This window comes from Homo sapiens, chromosome 9 (genome assembly GCF_000001405.40).
Source record: "Homo sapiens chromosome 9, GRCh38.p14 Primary Assembly".
Classification (NCBI taxonomy): Eukaryota; Metazoa; Chordata; class Mammalia; order Primates; family Hominidae; genus Homo; species Homo sapiens.
The window spans coordinates 16,097,824-16,117,464 of record NC_000009.12 but is presented as its reverse complement, the minus strand read 5'-3'; the positions used below and the strand labels follow the sequence as shown (position 1 = coordinate 16,117,464).

The 19,641-nt window shown below is 42.0% G+C and overlaps 1 protein-coding gene across 1 annotated transcript in view; it reads right to left on the bottom strand.

Moving 5' to 3' along the window:
- CCDC171 (coiled-coil domain containing 171) overlaps nucleotides 8,539-19,641 on the bottom strand; it is a 556,042-nt gene continuing 544,939 nt past the window's right edge. Inside the window, exon 28 of the transcript XR_007061261.1 lies at nucleotides 8,539-8,753. The gene's annotated coding sequence lies outside the window, so the exon portion shown is untranslated. The remainder of the gene's footprint in view (nucleotides 8,754-19,641) is intronic.

Here is a 19,641-nt window from a genome sequence, read left to right as displayed (position 1 = left end):
TGACCTCTGCAAAAAATCAGATGGATCTTGGAGAAAGATAGTGTATTATTTTAAGGTTGTAAGGTGATGATTACAATTGATGCTGCTGCTGTCTTTACTCTGTGAGTTTGCCATATGTCTATTGATCTGGTGAATACATTTTCTCTATTAGAAGAAAGTTGCTTTTACCTGACAGGAATAACAGCATATATTCACCATCCTGGTCTCAAAGCTGCATTAATTATTTTGCTTTATACCATAACTTACGGCAATAAGGTCTTTGATCTTTTTATTAATCGACAAAACTTTATGCTGGACCACAATTTATATGATATCATGCTAATAATAGACCAGGTGATCAGGCAGGAGCACATACCCTAAATGCCTTGTCAAACACATTTATGTTAGAAGGTTGAGATGCATCCATTGGAAACTCAGTGATTTCAGAGATGATTCTAGAAGTTCAGATAACTATATAATATCAGAATATCCCCTCCAAAATGAAAAATTCCTGCACCATGCATATCCCACAAATGAAAACAAGCAATACATTAATTGTCTCTCTTTGGACTTAATTTTTACTTTTTTTAGAGACAGGGTCTCTGTCACTGAGGCTGGAGTGCAGTGGTGTGATTATAGCTCACTGTTGCCTCAAACTTCTGCACTCAAGCAATCATCCTGCCACTGTCTCCTAAATAGCTAGGAATTCAAGCATGAGCTACCATAACTGGCTATTTAAAAAAAATTGTTTTTTTAGTAGAGACAGGGCCTCACTTTGTTGCCCAGGCTGGTCTCAAACTCCTGGCCTCAAGCTGTTCTCACACCCCAGCCTCCCAAAATGCTGGGATTATAGGCATGAGCTACCATACCCAACCCTTTTTGGATTTTTAAAAATTTTTTATTTATTTATTTTTTGAGACAGAGTCTTGTTCTGTCACCCAGGCTGGAGTGCAGTGGTGCAATCTTGGTGGCTCACTGCAACCTCTGCCTCCCAGGTTCAGGTGGTTCTCCTACCTCAGGCTCCCAAGTAGCTGGGCTTACAGGCATGTTCCACCATGCCCAGCTCATTTTTGTATTTTTAGTAGTGATGGGGTTTTGCCATGTTGACCAGGCTTTTCTCAAACTCCTGACATCAACTGATCCACCCGACTCAGCCTCCCAAAGTGCTAGGATTACAGGCATGAGCCACTGCACCCAGCCCCTCTTTGGATTTTTGAAGGCAACATATAAGGATGTATTCCACATAAGGCTGTATTCCTCTGACCCTGTTGCTGACTAATGCACTGGCTACTATCTTTGAATGGGGTGTTTGGCTCTGTCCCCACCCAAATCTCATTTTGAATGGTAATAATCCCCATGTGTCAAGGGTGAGGTCAGGTGGAGATAATTGAATCATGGGTATCATTTTCCCCCATACTGTTCTTGTGGTAGTGAATAAATCTCACAAGATCTGATGGTTTTATAAATGGGAGTTCCCCTGCACAAGCTCTCTTGCCTGCTGCCATGTAAGACGTGAATTTGTTCCTCATTCACCTTCTGCCAGGATTGTCAGGCCTCCCCAGCCATGTAGAACTGTGAGTCAGTTAAAACTCTTCCCTTTATAAATCACCTGGTCTCGGGTATGTCTTTACTAGCAGCATGAGAACAGACTAATAAAGGGTCCAAAACAAAAGTAGTTGATTCAGGCCATAACACAAGCAATTCTACCCATGGGTCTTATGATTAATGAACCTAATGGTGCTTGAAGAGTGGCTGTTCAGGATACTATATGGACCCCATGCCAAGGCCTGACAGAAGAAGCACAATAAAGAACCCTGGAGTTTAAGGGCAAGGGTTTGCCCTCAATAGCAAGTTAGTGTATTCTTCTTTTTTTTTTTTTAAGTCAACTTTACTGAGATATAATTTACATGCAATAAAATGTAACATTTTAAGTGGACAGTTCAATGAGTTTTGATAAATTTATACACCTGGAAAACTGCAGCAAAATCAAGATAAGGAGCATTTTGATCAAACCAGAATTTTGCCCCTTTGCACCAATCCTTCCTTGAACCTAGCTCCAGTCAACTACTCATCTTCTGTCATCATACATTTGGTTTATCTTTTCTAGAGTTTTATATAAATGAAATCATGCAGTATATACACTTTGGGGTCTGAACTTTTTCATTCAATATAATGTTTCTAAGATTATTCTTTACATGTATCAGTAGTATCAGCAGTTTGTTCCTTCTTAATGATTAAGTATTTCATTGTATGGACATACCACAATTTCCTTACCTGTTAACAAACATTTGTGTTGTTTACAGGTTTTGGTTCTCACGAATAAAGCTACTACAAATATTCCTGTGATATCTTTTTATGGATGTATATTTTCATTTCTCTTGGCTAAATACCTACAAGAAATTTCAGGGACATATGGTAAATGCATATTTAACTTTATAAGAAACCAATGAACTGTTTTCCAAAATGAGGTTGTACCACCTTGTATATGAGGTGTTTTTGACATTGATATTTGATATTTTCAATGTGTTAAATGTTAGTTGTTCTAAGGAGTATATAGTAGTATTTAATTGTGGTTTAAATGTTCCTTTCCTGATGTCTAATAATGATGAGCATCTTATCATGGTCTGGTTAATTACATTTTTGCCCCATTTTAATTGCTTTTTAAATTGTGGAGTTGTAAAAGCTTTCTGTATAATCTGGAAACAAGTTGTTTGTCAGATACACGTACTGTGAACATTTTCTCCTGATCTGTGGCTTACCTTTTCATCTTCTTAGTGGAATTTTCCAAAGAGCAAGAGTTTTAAATTTCGATAAAGTTCAATTATCACATTTTATTTAATGGTTTGCTATTTGTCTCCTATCTAACACATTTTGACTACCTTTAAGCCACACAGATTTTCTGCTGTGCTTTCTTCTAGAAATTTTAATTTAATTAAATTCTAATTAAACTTTGCATATAGTGTATTGCAAATGTTGAGGTTCATTTTTCCATACGAATATCCAGTTGTTCTTGTACCGCTTGTTGAAAAAACTATCCTTTCTCCATTGAATAACCATGTCAAAAATCAATTAATATGTTTGGAAGTATTTCTGAACACTGTATTTTTTTAAACGACAATACACAGATGATCCATTAATCAACAGAACAATAGATAGATGTAGAATTCTGGGTTGACAGGTTTTTTTCTTCTTCTTCCTGACAGCATTTAAAAGATACCATTTTATTGCCTTCTGGTTTGCACTGATTCTGATGAGAAGTCTGCAATAAATCCAATCTCTGTTCTTTTTCATGTCATGTGCTGTTCCCCACTATGGCTGTATTTAAGATGCTCTTTTTATCTCTGTTTTTTCACCAAATTGATTATGAAGTGCCTTAGTGTTATTTTCTTTCTGTTTATCTTGCTTGGAATTTGTAGACCTTTTTGATATGGTGATTTGTAACTTTCATCAGACTTGAAAATATTTCAGCCATTATTTCTTCAACATTTTTGTTTTGTTTTGTTTTCTCCTTTCTTTTCCCTCCTGGATTACAATTACATATATCTTAGGCCACTTGATCTAGTCCCTTACATCACTAAAACTCTGTTCATTCACTTTTAATCTCTTTTTCCCCCTGTGCTTTAATTTGTTTCTATTATGTTATTTTTAAGTCACTAATTTTTTCTTTTCTGCTATCTATTTTGCTGACAGTTCCTCCAGAATTTTTTCAGATGTTGATATGGTTCTATTTGGCTTGTTTCTTTCATTTATCTCCCTATATTTTGGTTTTAATTCAAATTTGTAAGTATATTGAGCACATTTCTAATTGCTCTTTTTAAAGTTTTTATCTACAGATCAATCAAATCTGACATTTCTGTGATTTTTTTCCTATTGACTGATTTATCAACTGGTTATAAGTCACATATTCCTGCTTCTTATGTTTCATACTTTTAAAATTGGATCCTGGACATTGTAAATATTACATCCTTGAATATCTGAATTTTGTTTCTTCCTTTAAAAAAGTATTTGACTTGTTCATTTTGCAGTCTGTTCAGTTCCCTGGTGACAACTTTGATACCTTTATGGCTTGTTTTAAAGGGCTTAGGGAGGGTCAGTAGTAATCCTTACTCTAGAGATAGTTTAGCCCTACAACCAAGGCATGGTCCTCCTGCCCCCAGGTGATCAATGGAGATTCTCTGGGTGGTCTAAGCTCAAAAAGTCTCCTTTCCCTCTATGTACTCTGGGAATTCTATGGCTTATGGCTCCCCTGTCATTTTTTTTTTTTTCTGCTCAACCTCATGGTATTTTACCCTAACCATGTGCATATTGATATTTAGCCAAAGACTCGAGGAGACCTGTATCCACATTTACGGAGCTCGTTTTCTGCACAGTTCTGTCTTCTCTGTACTCCTTTCTGCAAATTTCTCCCACCTTGGTGTCCTTAACTTCCAGTCTCCATCTCTTAACTCAATGAGCCCCTGGCACTATCAGGGGTCCCTGCCCCTGCACGCCATATAGAAATTGATTCCAGGCAGAGTACTGCCGCTCATATAGAGATCACTTTGTTTGTTTTCTTTCATTTAGCGATTAGTCATGCACTGACTTTTTCCAATTTTGTTTCATTTATTTTTATATATTTACATATAAACCAGCTATGTCCTGTATTTTGCCAGTTTTCTAATTGTTTATGGTGAGAGGGTAACTTCATAAGTGTAAGTAGCCATGCTATTACCATTAAGAAAAACTCTACACTAGCTATTAACCCTTGGTACTGTCAGAACACCAATCCACTGGATATCAGTTGGCTGTGCTACCTGAGTACCCATCAATGAACTGGGTATTATCTGTTATACCAAACCACATGTTGCCGCATTCCACCATCAAATGAAGTGTTTCTATGAGGGTAAGGTCAAGCAGGCCCTGGCTGTTGATTGACTTAGTGGTTCACACTCCTGATAATATCCACTCTGGACACATCCCTACTCTTTCCTCAACCCACATCTGTATTCTCTAGGAGTTTCTCATGACCGAGAGTTGACTGAAAAGCAAAAAACACGGTGTCTTATTTAACAGTTAGCTCTGAGCTTGAAATCGCCAGCTTGAAATCAATGGCTATGATGTTATAGCTTCTGTTAGGGGTGGCCTGGAGGGCAGTGAAGAAGAGAAATCCTCCCAGTGGGCAGCACCTTGGACAGCACATGAGGTGTTCTTTTCCCAGAGCATCTCAGGCGGTGTTAGGTGCAGATCTACACTGTTTCATGAGAAGTGGCTTCCGGCTTGGCTAAGGGATTGAGAATTTGGAGGAATAGAACTGTAGGACTGATGGTGACAGGGAAGTCAGAAGACAACTAGGTATGGTCTTAAAATGGCCCCAGAGTGCGGAAAGCTTTTGTCCCATGTGGCTGCTCACTAAATGGACCTCAGTTGCAAGTCATCACGTAACATGCCAATAGCAACGACTCACCCTAAGTCCCAAATATAGGCTCATACTCAAAGAGGACTAGCCTGTGACAAGTAGTTATCAGCCTCCAGGAGGGTTCATTACACTGAACCCCTTCCACTGCACAAGAGACAGTGATTTGTCCTCACAGAATGGACACCTTGTGGATATGTATTTCCCTTTTAAATTAGGACATTAGATACCTTGTTAACCAAAATATTATTGCACAAAGTGTCACTTTTGCCTGTCAACTCCTTTTTCAGCAAAAGAAGCAAGGCAACAGCCTATGCTTATGGTATTCATGGTGTTACTATGTATCCCATCACCCAGAAGCAGCTGTCTTAAGGGAATGATGGAATGGGCTTTTTTTCTTTCTCTCTTTTTTTTTTTTTCGAGACAGGGTCTCATTCTGTCACTCAGGGTGGAGTGCAGTTGTGTGATCATAGCTCACTGCAGCCTTGACCTCCTGGACTCAAGTGATCCTCCCACCTCAGCCTCCTGAGTAGCTAGGAATGGACATTTGAAGCCTTGGTTCCAAGACACAAGAATGCAAGTTTGAAGTGAGTCCTGCAGGATGCAGCATATCCTGTGAACCACTGAGTAAGAAATACTGGTTCTATTTCTGATGTTTCTCCCACAGTCAGAAAGCACAGATCACTGATCAAAGCATGGAAGTAGTAAAGATACTGCTAGCATTTCACTCAATGCTATACTTTAAAAATGTTCTTGTCTCATTCCTGCAACACTGTTGGTTTAGAAGCTGTAGTACTAAAAAATTCTCCCACCAGGAGCCATGTTTCTAGTGACTGTACAGATTGTCACCTAGCATTTTAGGACCTTCTTCATTCCACTGGATGCTACTATTTACTTCAGGTAAATCTGCCTCCAACTCTAATTCTGGACCTACACTGTACAGAGATGTTCACTCTCTAGCTGATCAATATCTCCCCCAAAATGGTTGCTTGTGTCTCCTTCAAAAAATGGAATCACATTTTAATAGTTTTTAATCAGCCAGGGGCTTTGTATTTTATCATTTTTGCTTTATGCTATAAGTATGATTCAATAAAACACTTTAGATTTCGTTAAAAATTTGAGTTTACCATAAACGGGAGGTATTTTAGAGCCATGCGCATGTTAAGTTAGTTATGGCATGATGTTATATGAGTAGACTAACACATTGCCTATCTTACTCATTGCTTCAGATTATTTTTGTGATAAGCCTATTGGGACCCATCTTGCCCTAGTAGATGAGTGGGGCTATTATGGAGTTTCGCACAGGATGGATATATATTCAACAGAGAGAGGAGTTTGGAAAAAATCTAGGGTGTGGGGCACCACTGTATTAGCGGGGTGAAAATCCTAGTTGTAGGGAAGAAAAGGGAGTCAGGGTAAGGCAAAATGGTAGTGGGCATGTGGGGCTTTGGAGAGGGAGGTAGAACTGAACTTTCCCTGCCGTTACTGCCAGGCTTCTCCATTAAGGAACAATGTAATCTCCTAGAAACTCAACAGGTACCTAGCTTAGGGAAAAAAGTCTTTGTCCCAACTCTGCGAGAGCTTCAAAGAGAGCTCACAGGGACACCACCGCCCTCAGCTAGACCCCATTTTACCCATCTGCAAAGTGGGGAAATGAAAATGAATGAAGTCAACTATTCTGTTTCTTAGTCTCAGATTAATACGAACTTAATTGGACTCTTTGATCATTCCAAATAATGGTAGATAAAGTATTTAAATTTATGCAAACTATTTATTTTGAAGAAGTACAAGTAGAAACAAAACATATTCTCATCCCATTCATCTTCAAACTTTCCAAAAAGGCCATTTAAAAAACGAATTCTACTTCCCAAACTAGAAGCCAAACTTGAACTTTAGTCTTAGCTTTGCCAGTAATTGCTCTGTAACTTTAACCAAGTCACTTTCTTTCCAGGGCCTTTTCTTTTTTTTAAGAGAAATTACAGTACAAGACATTACAACTCCTGTGGTCCCTTCCATCTCAGGATTCAGTGATGCTGGGCCATGTGTCATCACTTGTTCCAGCCCTATTTGTCCCTCGTCTCAGAGTTTGGAAGATACGGGCAGCTCTCCTGGTCATTTGTTGCAGTGGAAATATTAAGGCACAAAGAATGGAAATATAGCTTCTGAACACTGACATTGTTGTTTAAACAAAATTCTTGGTATATATCCTCTTGCTCTGTGTGTGTGTGTGAGTGTGTATATATATTGTGTGTGTGTATATATATATATACGTATATGTACATATATAATATACATATGTATGTACTATATATAATATACATATATATGTAAATACATACAATATATATACACATATATGCGATGGAGTCTTGCTCTGTCACCTAGGCTGGAGTGCAGTGGCCTGATCTCTGCTCACTGCAACCTCTGCCTCCCAGGTTCAAGCAATTCTCCTGCCTCAGCCTCCCAAATACTGGGATTACAGGCATGTGCCACCATACCCGGCTAATTTTTGTATTTTTAGTAGAAGCGGGGTTTCACCATCTTAGCCAGGCTGGTCTCAAATTTCTGACCTCCGGTGATCTGTGTGCCTCACCCTCCCAAAGTGCTGGGATTACAGGTGTGAGCCACTGCACCCCACCCTCTTGCTCTATTTTTATTGAACCTCACATCCTTCTCAGCCCCACCCCAAACAACCCCCTAAGTTCTAGCACTCTCTCATGAGATTTGGGATCACTTAGTGAAGAAGCTGTCTCCTAAGTCTGCATGGAGACAAGAAGTCTCAAGGACACAATGGAGGGGTTAGCTGTCTGCAAGGAAGTCAAGAAAATGTTTAAATTGTGATCAGAATATTAAGTACCAACAACATTTTTTTTTTCATTTATGCTCAGGACTGTCAAATAACATTGTGTCATTATTGGTAAACTCACTTCAGCAAAAGCAATTTATCACAAAGTCAATTATCTGTGAGGGCTTGATTCCAGGCCCTCCCCCCGCCCCCGCCACACCATAATCCTCAGATGCTTAAGTCCATAATATAAAATTGCATATAATCTACGTACATCCTACCATATACTTTAAAATCATCTTTAGATTACTTATAATACTTAATGCAATGTAAATGCTATGTAAATTGGTGTTATACTGTATTTTTAAACATTTATGTTTTTATTGTTACATTGTTCCTTTTTTAATATAAAGAAAAGATATTTATTTGGCTCACGTTTCTGCAGGATGTACAAGCATGACGCCAGCATTTGTTCAGCTTCTGGTGAGGCTTCAGGAGGCTTTTGCTCATGGCAGAAGGTGAATATTCTTACTTTTTAATTGTAATTTTTTTCCCAAATATTTTCAGTCAGGGCCGGCTGAACTGGCAGATGCAGACCTGTGAACACAAAGGGCCAACTGTCCATCTCTTACATGCTTTGTGGAATGGAGGTTTATTCGGACTGAGTATATTCATACATGTGATGCCGAATTTCTGAAAGAAGTTCTACGTGGGTCATTCAGTCCCTGAAATCCTATTCTAAGTCTGCTCACTTCAGAATCCATGAAGAATCTGCCTCTGACATCCTCAGTGCCACATTAACTAGTGCCTATGGGCGGCACAGAGCATACTATGGGGACACTCATTCTGCAATCAAGGAAATCAAGGGAAATAGAAGTTAGGTCACTAATTTTTTTCTAACACATAGAAAATAAGAAATAAAATTCACAAGCCTCCAATATTTACATGTTAAGTGGTAGGTGGTTAATAAATCTTTGTAAGTAAAAGCAAGAAGACAAAGTGTTTGAGTTACTGGATCATTGCTGCCTCCCAAAGAACAGAATACATGTTGAGCCTGGAAGGGCAGACTCCTACAAATGACTGGAAAGCTCAACTGATTGGAGTATCATTCTCGGCCTATGACACTGACCTCCCATAAGTAGCCTCCAATTTTGTTATTTACTGATTCTGAAGCAATTTCCAAAATCTGTAAATTTTCCACCCACTTTCTTCCGGCTTCTGAAACTATAGAATACTTTGCGACTGAAGTTTATACCGCTGACCCTGAACTTTCCATTCACTTGCCAGCAACAATGTATTTTTTTATTATGCGTAGTACTCTATATTTGATATCATTTATATTGAAATAAAGCTTTCACTTTATAATAGTTACATTATGTATAAATTATGTATAAATGCATGGCATATGCTACATTATAATGAAATGTATTCTTTCATAATAGCTCCTACTACATACCAGGCCCTATCCTGATACTCAGTCTCCGAAAATGATTAAGACATAGGCTCCTGACCTTGAGAAACTTATGGCCATGTGGAACGAGATGAAAATGTTTAAAATTTTTTTTGTCAAGAAAGTCATTGTTTATAAGAAATGCTTTCTAAAATATTTAGGGGTTAAGAGACATGTTTTTGCAACTTACTCTCAAATAGTTCAGAAAAAAACACTTACATGTATATATATTGTTTACATATGTGTATGTATATATGTGTACGTACAAATGGGTATATTTATGCATATATGTATATGTGTGTGTGTGATACACACACACATTTAGAGAGAGAACAGTAAAGCAAATATGGTAAAATATTAGCATTTGGGGAACTTGTGTAAATGGTATATAAAATACATTCTCCATGGGGGCAATATCATACCCAAGGGAATAAAAATTGTTCTTGGGGATAAAAGAAACCTTACTTTTTACATATAGAGCTCAGATATACGTAAAGTCCATAAGCAGATATAGAGTATATTTGGGTATTCGAATTTCATGTCAGGAGCCAGGCATGGTCACATGCCTGTGGTCCCAGCTACTCAGGAGGCTAAGGTGGGAGAATCGCTTGAGCCCAGGAATTTAAGGCTGCAGTGAGCTATGATCATACCACCGCACTCCAGCCTGGGTGACAGAGCGAGGCCTTGTCTCTAAAAGAAAATTCATATATGAGGGTGATTAGGAAAAAAATGTCTGCAAATTTCTTTAGGGGTGACAATCAGAAAAGGGTTGAGAAACACTGGTATACAGGAATTCCTTATACTCTTTTGGCAACTTTTCTATAAGTCTGAAATTATTTCAGAATGAAGAGTGCAAACACTGAGCCAAGACAGTGCTGCGAGAGCTAGGGGAGGCAGAAGAGGCAGCCTGGGTCCCCCGGTTTTGCAGGAGGGCAGTGAGGGTGGCTCCAGGGTAGATGGTATAGAAGTCCTGAACCTGGAGGGTGACACCTGGCCCAAGTCTTGCAGGAAAACCCTGAGTGTGCTGGGCAGATAAGGACATGGCCTAATCCCAAAAAGCCTCAGAGGAAGATTAAATTCTCTAGCATTTAGTTTTATTGTTTAGCATATTTTACCATATTCTAATGAGATACAAATGATAAGCCATGTCTTTTCTAAAAGATGACTCTCAATTAAATAACAATCCCTTGTTAGGCGGAAGATCTGACTTCTCAACTTTCTAAAGAAATAGGAGTTTGAGGGAAAACAACCTTTGTTCTGGAATTCACTGTTTATCCAAACTGTTAGTCCCTGAAGGAATGTTTCTAATTCACAGTTTACAGGCTTGGGAAACCCTTTGGGGTTTTGGAGAGAGAAGGTGCCATCCTGTGAATGCTGCCTTTAGCTCCGGAATTGCACTGGGTTGGGAGGCCCGGGAGAGGCAGAAGGTGGCTTCACATTCTGGAGCATTTCTGCAGGCTGGAAATCTGACACTGAGCTACGGAAATGCGGAGTCCAAAAGCATGCTGTGCGAGGGGCGCAGAAAGGGGCAAACGCTGGAAAAATCCTACTTTTCTCCCCATGACAGCTGCCTTTTGTTTGGGCAAATAATTTGAGGAGAGAACAAAAAAGCAGTTGTTTGCTTAATGCCAAGCCACAAAAACATGGAGCCTTTCTGGCCCCTGTTAGGAGAAAACTCCATATCCCAAGCATTCTTGATGATTTGCCTGCAGACTGAGGTGACACAGAAAACATCCACTGTCCCCGGAATCCCTCTTGCTGGGCAGGGGCCACCTCATTCATTCATAACTCAATAGGACAGGGGTCCAGAGAGGCCAGAGTTTAGTGCCACGTTGGACCAAGCCAAAGGGTGGCTGCGATGGGGTGTGGTGGCCTGAAAGCAGGTCGTTAATGCAAATGGATGCCCTGCCTGCCAGTGGCCTGTTTTCTTGGCCAGAAGAATCTGTAAAAAGAGTACAAAACCTTGTGTTCAAAGTTTTGGAGTTTATAATATATACAAACTCATACACACATGCCCAGAAATACACAAATTGCTTGTGATACATACATTTGGTGCCAACATAAACAGGACTCTGGCCAAAAACCGTGTTGGTTAGCAACTGGCCAATGTAGCATTTAAAGTTAGAGGCCAACAGAAAAACCCAAACAGTGGTGTTTTTTTCCTAAACTTGAAGTCAAAGTCACCAGTCAGTATTGCTTTTCCTTTACAGAATGGTTTTCTATTATCTTCACTCAGGAAAGATCCTGTCTGCAGAGAGGCCCGTGACGGGTTTGCTGTTAGATGAGTTCATTACCGTAAATCCATCCAAGGCTAGTTCCAATAACAATTACGAGGCCATCAAGCCATGAAATCTGATGTCCACTTTGAATTTGTGACCAGTGCCACTGAAAAAGAGAAGGGGGGGGTGCTGGACTTCAAGAACTGCCTGGTCTCCAAAGTTTGTCAGGCCAGCCAAGTGACACATGGAACAGCAGGTGGACAGGGAGTGTGTGCTTTTTCCTGAGCCCACTCCTGGCACAGTATAGAGGGAGTGCCAGCGTCCTAGGTACCATCAACTTGTTAGGGATGCCTTCTTCCCCACACTTCTCCCGCCCTCAGATATTAAATGTCCCTTCTATCCTCTAACAAGGCCTGTTCCCAGGGAAAGATTAATATCCATTATTTACACATAGCCCAAATATATTTAAGTCACTGCTGCCGTCTCATAGGATGTGTTGCATTTGAAGTCTGTAGCCTAACAGCCTTGACTTCTGCTAAAAGAATTTTAGTCTTTGGCAAGCAAATGGGAGGGAATTTGGTAGGGATGAGGAGGGCCAGGCTTTATCAAGAGCTTTCCTTACTGCCTGCATCTTCTCTCCCCTCAGCCTTCAGACCTCCACTTAATACTTCACTCCTAAGTAGGTCAAATCCCAATGAGATGGTCTGCTGGTACCTACATCTCTCCTTAGCTCTTACTGGAGTTTTACATTGTTATCTGTGATTACTTATGTCTGCCTCTTCTGCTGAGCCCCGTAGGTCAAGGCCCACATCTATATTTGGTCATCATTCTCTCTCAAGTGCCTAGCCCAATGCCTGGCATATAGTACATGTTCAATGAATGTTTTTTGAATGAAAAAAAAAAAGCAATGAATGATATGATTAAATGAAGGCTTGGGTGAACGGGTGGGTGGATGGGTGGGTGGATGAATGGATGGATGGATGATGATGGGTGCATGGATGGATGAATGATTGATGGATGATGGAATTTCAGTGCCACTACATCTGGGCCCTGTCCATCTTCCTGTAATCCTGCCTCCCTGAAATCTCTGTGGGTCCAGTGTAGCTTAAAGCAGCTCAGTCAATAGGTGAAGGTGTTCCTGGATGCTCATGATGAATTACTTGGCCAGCAGCTGAGAAAGGCCAAAAAGTACAGCCAAAGAGAAAGGCTGGGAAGACAAAAGGCAGAGAGGGAGAAATAGAGGGGTGAGAGGTATGCAGCAGCACAGACCACGGGCAGCTGGAAGAGAAAGGCAGGAGCTTTGGAGACCTAAGAGAAAAACAGAGGGAGAAGGGATGTTGAGATGAGCCGTGGGGAGGGGGAGGCAGCTGGGAAGGGGGAGCTTAGAGGAGAATCTGTGCCATTAGGATGACAAAAACAACAGGGGCTTTTCTGAGAGGACTGTAGGGAGGTGAAAGTTGAAAGTGGGAGGCTTGTAAGAAGAAGGAGAGGAGGGAAAGAATCTTAACCAGCTAAATTTAAGTAACAGAGAAAGAGGAAAACAAGAAGAAAGAAAAATGCTGGCCCTGAAAGCTACAGAAGGGGTACCCAGGGTAAAAAAGCCAAAGCCACAGCCTCTCTGCCAAGGGAGGAAACCTTAGGAGACCCACCAGCCGGCATCTTGAAGTCTCAGACTTTTTCCACCTTATGAGCTGTAAATTGATCTATTCAGTTAGAGAAAGCTGGTTTTTATTGAGTAATTTCCTCTGGACGACCTCCAGTTTTGAACACGTCCCCAAATTTCTCTGACTCTCCCCCAGCCCCCCCGGAGTCCATGCGTCAAAGCCCGTAAATCACTGGGGGGCAGGCCCCCCTCGCCGCTTGTCAGGTCACTGGGCTAATCCTGATATGGCCCTTGGTCCTGCTCGGTGCAGAGACCTCGGATCTGTTTGTTCTGCAGGCCAATTCCCAGCATGCCCCTTGCTGAGCTCACATCCCGGCAGCAGCGCAGGAGCCCCCAGCCACAGAAGGGATTTCTAACAGGTCCCAAGCCACGTCCTCTGCCTGGCCTCGGCTACCAAGGACATTTCTCAATTTTTCTTCTTAGCCTTCAAATGAGGCCTCCTGCAGATGAAAACAAGGGGCTCTTTATGGAAAACATTGCCCATCACTTGCTTTTACATTGCATCTTTTATGCCAGTATCCCTCAAAGCATTTTCACAGACAAGTGCCGTTGTCTTCCCCCTTACAGATGGCAGTGAGAGGAAAGCACAGAAAGTTAAGTGGTTCAATGAAGGTCACTCAAAAAATCAGAGCAGAGGTGGGGAAGGAACCCAGATCTCCCTGCTCCCAGGCCCATCCCTTGCCCACTCCCAGGCCTAGCTGCAAACAGCTGGTGACTGTGAGTGCCCTTCTCACACCCTGCCAGCATGCAAATCCCCCTTATCTTTGTTACTTAAAGCTCAGAACTGAAACTCCATCTTCCTAACCAGGATTGCACAGCTCTTTGGATGGAAGGGGCCATCTTGCAAAATCAATTGAAGGCCGATGGACCTGCCAAGACCCAAAAGGGTGGGAGGGGGGCCTGCAGGTCCCCTCAGGAGGTGAGACGCAGGCGTCAAAGCTTGAAGAGCAATTGCATTACCTGTGCGGCTGAGGTTTTCTGCCTGCTCAATCCGAAAGTTAGCAAAGTAGTAATCAATGGAAAGGAAATATAATTGAGAAGATTAAAAGCTGAGGGTGGGTATGGACTGGGGAGGGAAGTGATTGCTAAAGAGGTCCATTTGTATAATTCAAAGGTCGATGCCTCTCATTAAACTCACATCTCCAGACACTCAGGGGATGAAAAGAAGCTCTCCATGCTGACTGCCTGACACCTAAGAGTTTCCTCCGGCCACTTTCAAGGGCAGCATGAGGCCAGGGGGACGAAGAGCTGTTGGAAAGTGAATTTAGGGGAATCCATAAGCAGAAGAACATTTGGAGAATTGCAAAACACAAACAGATCTTCTGACCCTTTTAAAAAAGATATCCGAGTTTCTTGTAGACTATGAGGGCTTATTTACATGATCTTCACAGAAACTTAATCCATGCCTAAGGAGGTTCTAGACGGTTTCACCTTCCCTGTTTATATTTGTACCCACCCTCCCCCCTGCCCCCACCCCCGCCCCCCCCCAACACACGTTTATCCTTACATGAAATGCATCTGTTTCTACAGCTTCAGATCCATAATGAACTTTGGCTGAGATGACCTGTTTACTTAGCGAGCCAGCAACTACATCCGTCTGAGACAAGTGACAAGCTCATCCCCCGCAATCCTCCCTGGAAAGGAAGGTGTGTAGGAGAGCAAGCGCGTGTGTATATGTCTACAGATCTCAACTGAGATGTTGGGGCTGCAGGGTCCAGGAGGCCAGGACACGGACACCAAAACAGACAATATCGTAATTTCCCTTCTAGCCCTGCTCTTTGACTGTGGAGGAGGCTCACAGGAGTTAGTCCAGTGCATCTGTTTCCTTTACTGTTCTTCATCTTCAGTCCTTGGTGCCTACACCAGAAACCCCTGTAAGTGTACGCTGGAGACCACAGGATGCAGGGAGGGCTGCCAGATTTAATAGGTGTTTTGGTTTACTATTGCTGCAGAACACATTACCACAAACTCGGCAGCTTAAAACAACGTGTATTTTTATACCTCAAAGTTTCCCTGGTTCAGGAGTCTGGCATGTTCTGGACAGGTTCTCTACTCAGGTCTCACACAGCCAAAGTCAAGGTGTTGGCCAGGCCTGCCATCTTGTCCGAGGCTTGGGGCTTCTTCCCAGCTCTCAGGTTGTTGGCAGAACCCAGTTCATTGCAGCATGGAGCTGAGGTTCCCTGCTTTCTTCCTGGCTGTCAACTGGAGGCTATTCTTAGCTCCTAGGGGCTGACCACTCTTCCCTGCCCTGTGGCCTTCTCCACAACACAGCAGTTTGCTCCTTCAAGGTCACTGGACAATTTTCTACTGCTTCAAAGGCCTGACTTCCTTTTTCTCTGGACTCTAGACCCAGAATTAAAGGGTTCATGTAGTTTGGTTAGGCACACCCAGATAATTTGCTCTTTAACTTGATAAAGTCAACTGATTAGTGAGCTTAATTGCATTTGCAAAAATCCCTTTTGCCATGTAGTGTAACATAATCACAGGAGTGATGTTGCATCACATTCACGGGTTTCACCTACACTTTGGGGTAAGACATTATACCAGAGGGAGGGTCACTGGGGAGCATCTCAGAATTCTGCCTAATAGAAGAAATAAAAATACAAGATGCCCAATTAAATTTGAAATTCAGATAAACAATACATTTTAATTATTTCTCACACAATATTCAGGACCTATGTATACTAAAATATTATTCATTGTTCATCTGAGATTCAAATTTAACTGGGTGCCCTGTATGTTACCTGGCCACCCTAGGTGGAGAGCCTACAGGCTCTGCTGAAAGGCAGAGACTGGCTTGCAGCAGAATGTATTTCCTTTGTGTAGCAAGAAGCAGTAGACCTTTCTTCAGCTGGGGGCCCTTTGGTGATAAGAGAAGGCCTCTGTGGCCTTATTTCTGCAGCCCGGCTTTCTCTGCTTCCCTCCTAGCTCCTTCAGCCTGAGCCTGTCAACACCCTGCATACTCACTGAGAGCAACTGCCGTTCCCAGGCTGTGTGCAGCAACAGGCCACAGAGGTCAGCCACAGAGGCTCGCTTGCCTAGAATCACAGAGCCTGGGGGATGGGGTAGGGAATCGGAGAGGAGAGCTTGGGTGAAGGGGGAGCAAGAAACCACCCCAGGCCCCCTCCCATCTGCCCCAACAGAAGCTCTTGCCCTTGGTGGGGGGCGGGGTGGGGGGCGCCTGACAGGCTCTCTGGGCTACAGAAAACTCCCCTGAACCAGCAGAAGAGTTTTCCTTGGGAGCGAGGCTTGGCTCTCCTCGCAGCTGCTTCCAACCCTTGCCAGCAACACTTCCAACTCTGGCCAGCCCAGTGTTACATTTTACCAGGCCAGGCCCTATTAGCCTGATCCTAAGATGGGTTATTCTTTCCAGTTCTCACTAACAAAAATCCCCTTTTATTTGGACACTCAAGTGGCCTCTAGGAAAGGAGCTTTCATGAGCTGCCAAAAATGTTCAGATGCCGCAACATTTGTGTGTGTGGCCAATTACATCGATACCTCTGGGGCTGATCCCACAGGCCTTTCTCAGGCAAAATACCTGTGAACTTCCACCAGACCCCCCACCCTTTATCCTGAGCTCTATCTGCAAGAGGAGGCCTGAGGTAGCTGCCTGAGCTGAGCGGCTGGAGATAGGCTTATGCATGGCGTTTTTACTCGGATGAAATCAATCTGAGTGGGGAGAGTGATTTATATAAGCACCAGTCAATGCATTATTAGAATTAATATCATCATTTTGCTGCTTCCCTTTTTAGGTTTTTCCTCTCATAAATCAATTTAGTTCAATAAGATGGGGCTGAGTTTTGGCTGCACACAGATTAGAGTGTTCTGTGCTGTGGGAGCGAAGGACTGTTTGGTGAGTTCAGACAATGCCCCCATTGTTTTCTGATTTATTGAAAGCTCAGGTTTTGCTGGTATTACATGCATTCACTGATGTTTTGCAAAGCCTGGATTAGATTTTTCTTTTTTTTTTTTTAACTTGAAAGCTATCTCCATACAGCGTTGGTTTCTCAAAGAGTCTCTAGTTTGTCATAGACTGGCCTTTTTCCACAGGCAAGCAATGGCCAGTGAGAGGGTGGGTGGATGTCTTTATAATCATTCTTTCTTTCCATCTTCATATTTGGCCAACATGCACTAACTTGTGTCTGTTCTGAGTTCCCTAACCACTTGCAGAAGAGGATCTATTTGAGTCTTTTTCTTAATCATTGTCCTTGTTAAATGACTTTGTTGTGCGATCTCTTTCTTGTTGAGACTATCTCATTGCCAAATCAGTGCAGACTGTGGTCACCCACCAGAAGCCCACGAATATGGCAAACTGGGATGGACTCATGGGAGTTTGGATGCCCCCTTCATGCACCTCCTACAAAGGTGCCTTCCACAAGCTGCTTCTCAGAGACTTGTTTCAGAAGTCGCTAGGGAAGCTCATGGCATTTTTCTTATGAAAAGGACATCAGAAATGCTTAGAAAATGGTGTGCAACAATAAATCAGAAACAGCTGATTCGTCTTCAGGTTGCATCACGCTCCCTTGTGCTTCTTCACCTGCCACATCTTTGCCCTGTGTTTGTGAAGCCTTGCTCACCAGAACCTTCTGAGAGCCACTGCGATGGCGTTTCCCATCCATGTTCCCAGCCTGGAGGCTCCTCTGCCACTTTTCCTCTGTTGTGAAATGAAACTTAGCAGAATAAACCAGGGGGAACAGGGTGCACCCCAATGGCACAGACCAAGGCTCCTAAGAAGAATTCTGATGTTAACCCCTCTAAGGGTATCTAAAAGCCTGGTGGTGCTTTATTAAATCTCCAAGAATTAGCAAAAAATTGATGTTTTAAATAAGCCTTAAAGAGATGAATTTTTCAAACCCAGGGTCTTACACATGACAGTCACTCTCTAAACAGTCTGGAATCAACTGGATTTGATATTGACCAGTTTTTCAGTTTTAAGAAAAATTATTAAAAATCTTCCCCCAAATGAAAGCTTTCCCAAATAAGGGCTTATTATATCCATCCTATGTCAGAGCTACAAAATGAGCCCTCCCTGATGCAGGACTTGGCACTGGAAATCCTCAGAGCAGTCTCAATTTTTCTAGGAACATCCGTGCCCACATATGTGCACAGCACACTGTACCATCATTGCTCCCCCACTCCCAATTTAGATGCTTTCTCTGGCTAACACATGTAAGTCTATTTCTTCAAAGGGGGAATATTCCATAGGAAAATGGATCAATAAATTGTTTTTGAAAACAGAAAGGGATCTTTAAAACACTGGTTGTGAATTGAGACAGCAATTCAAGGTGGCAAAAACCCAACTAGTAGTGTTTTAAGTTAGGAGCACTCTTAATCCCTTGTAATTCTGTGTTCTAAGGTACTAGATTTCATTTCATCGACTTCATTAACACAGTACACTGGGAAGCGGACATATGATCAGCCCATTGTACATATGCCAAAACTGGGGCTCAGGGAAATTAGGTGGCTTACTCCAACACTCAAGAGTGTGGACCAAAGCCAGCTTTCTTATTCTCCTTCTGAGGGAAACTGCTCAGAATGAACACATTTTTTTCTAAATAGCAGCTCTTATTCACATATTCTTCCAACCAGGCTATGAAGTCCTTGATGATGATGACGACGACGACAACAATGATGGTGATGATGACACTAGAGACCATTTGTTTTGACCCACTACATTTTAAACACTTTAAAGCACATGTTCATGCTTGAATGTAATGAACTCTTCAAAATGACCCTGTAAGTTAGGGTAATAATATTAGCCCCATTTTATGCATTAGGGGAAAAAAGGCTCAGCGATGTTAGCTAGCCCAAAGTCTCTCAGCTAAAAGATAGCCGAACTCTGACTTAAACCGTGATGTGTATGTTCTCAATAACTAATGGATTGCATTGAACAAAACACTTGGCTACAAAGGCTACGCTGATTGTTTTCGTGTCTCTTTCCCTTTAAAGCTCGGACTAGCTCCTTATTTCTCACAGTAGGCACTGCTAACTGCTAGTTCCATATAACATTTCCTAACATGAAGCTGACTGGTACCAACATAAAGTTGATCACCACCTAGGGCAGGATGCATGGGGTGCAAAGAAGGCAGAAATGCAAGTCAGTCAGTCTCTTTTTCTCTCTAACTCAGTAGCAACATTTGAAGTTCAATGATG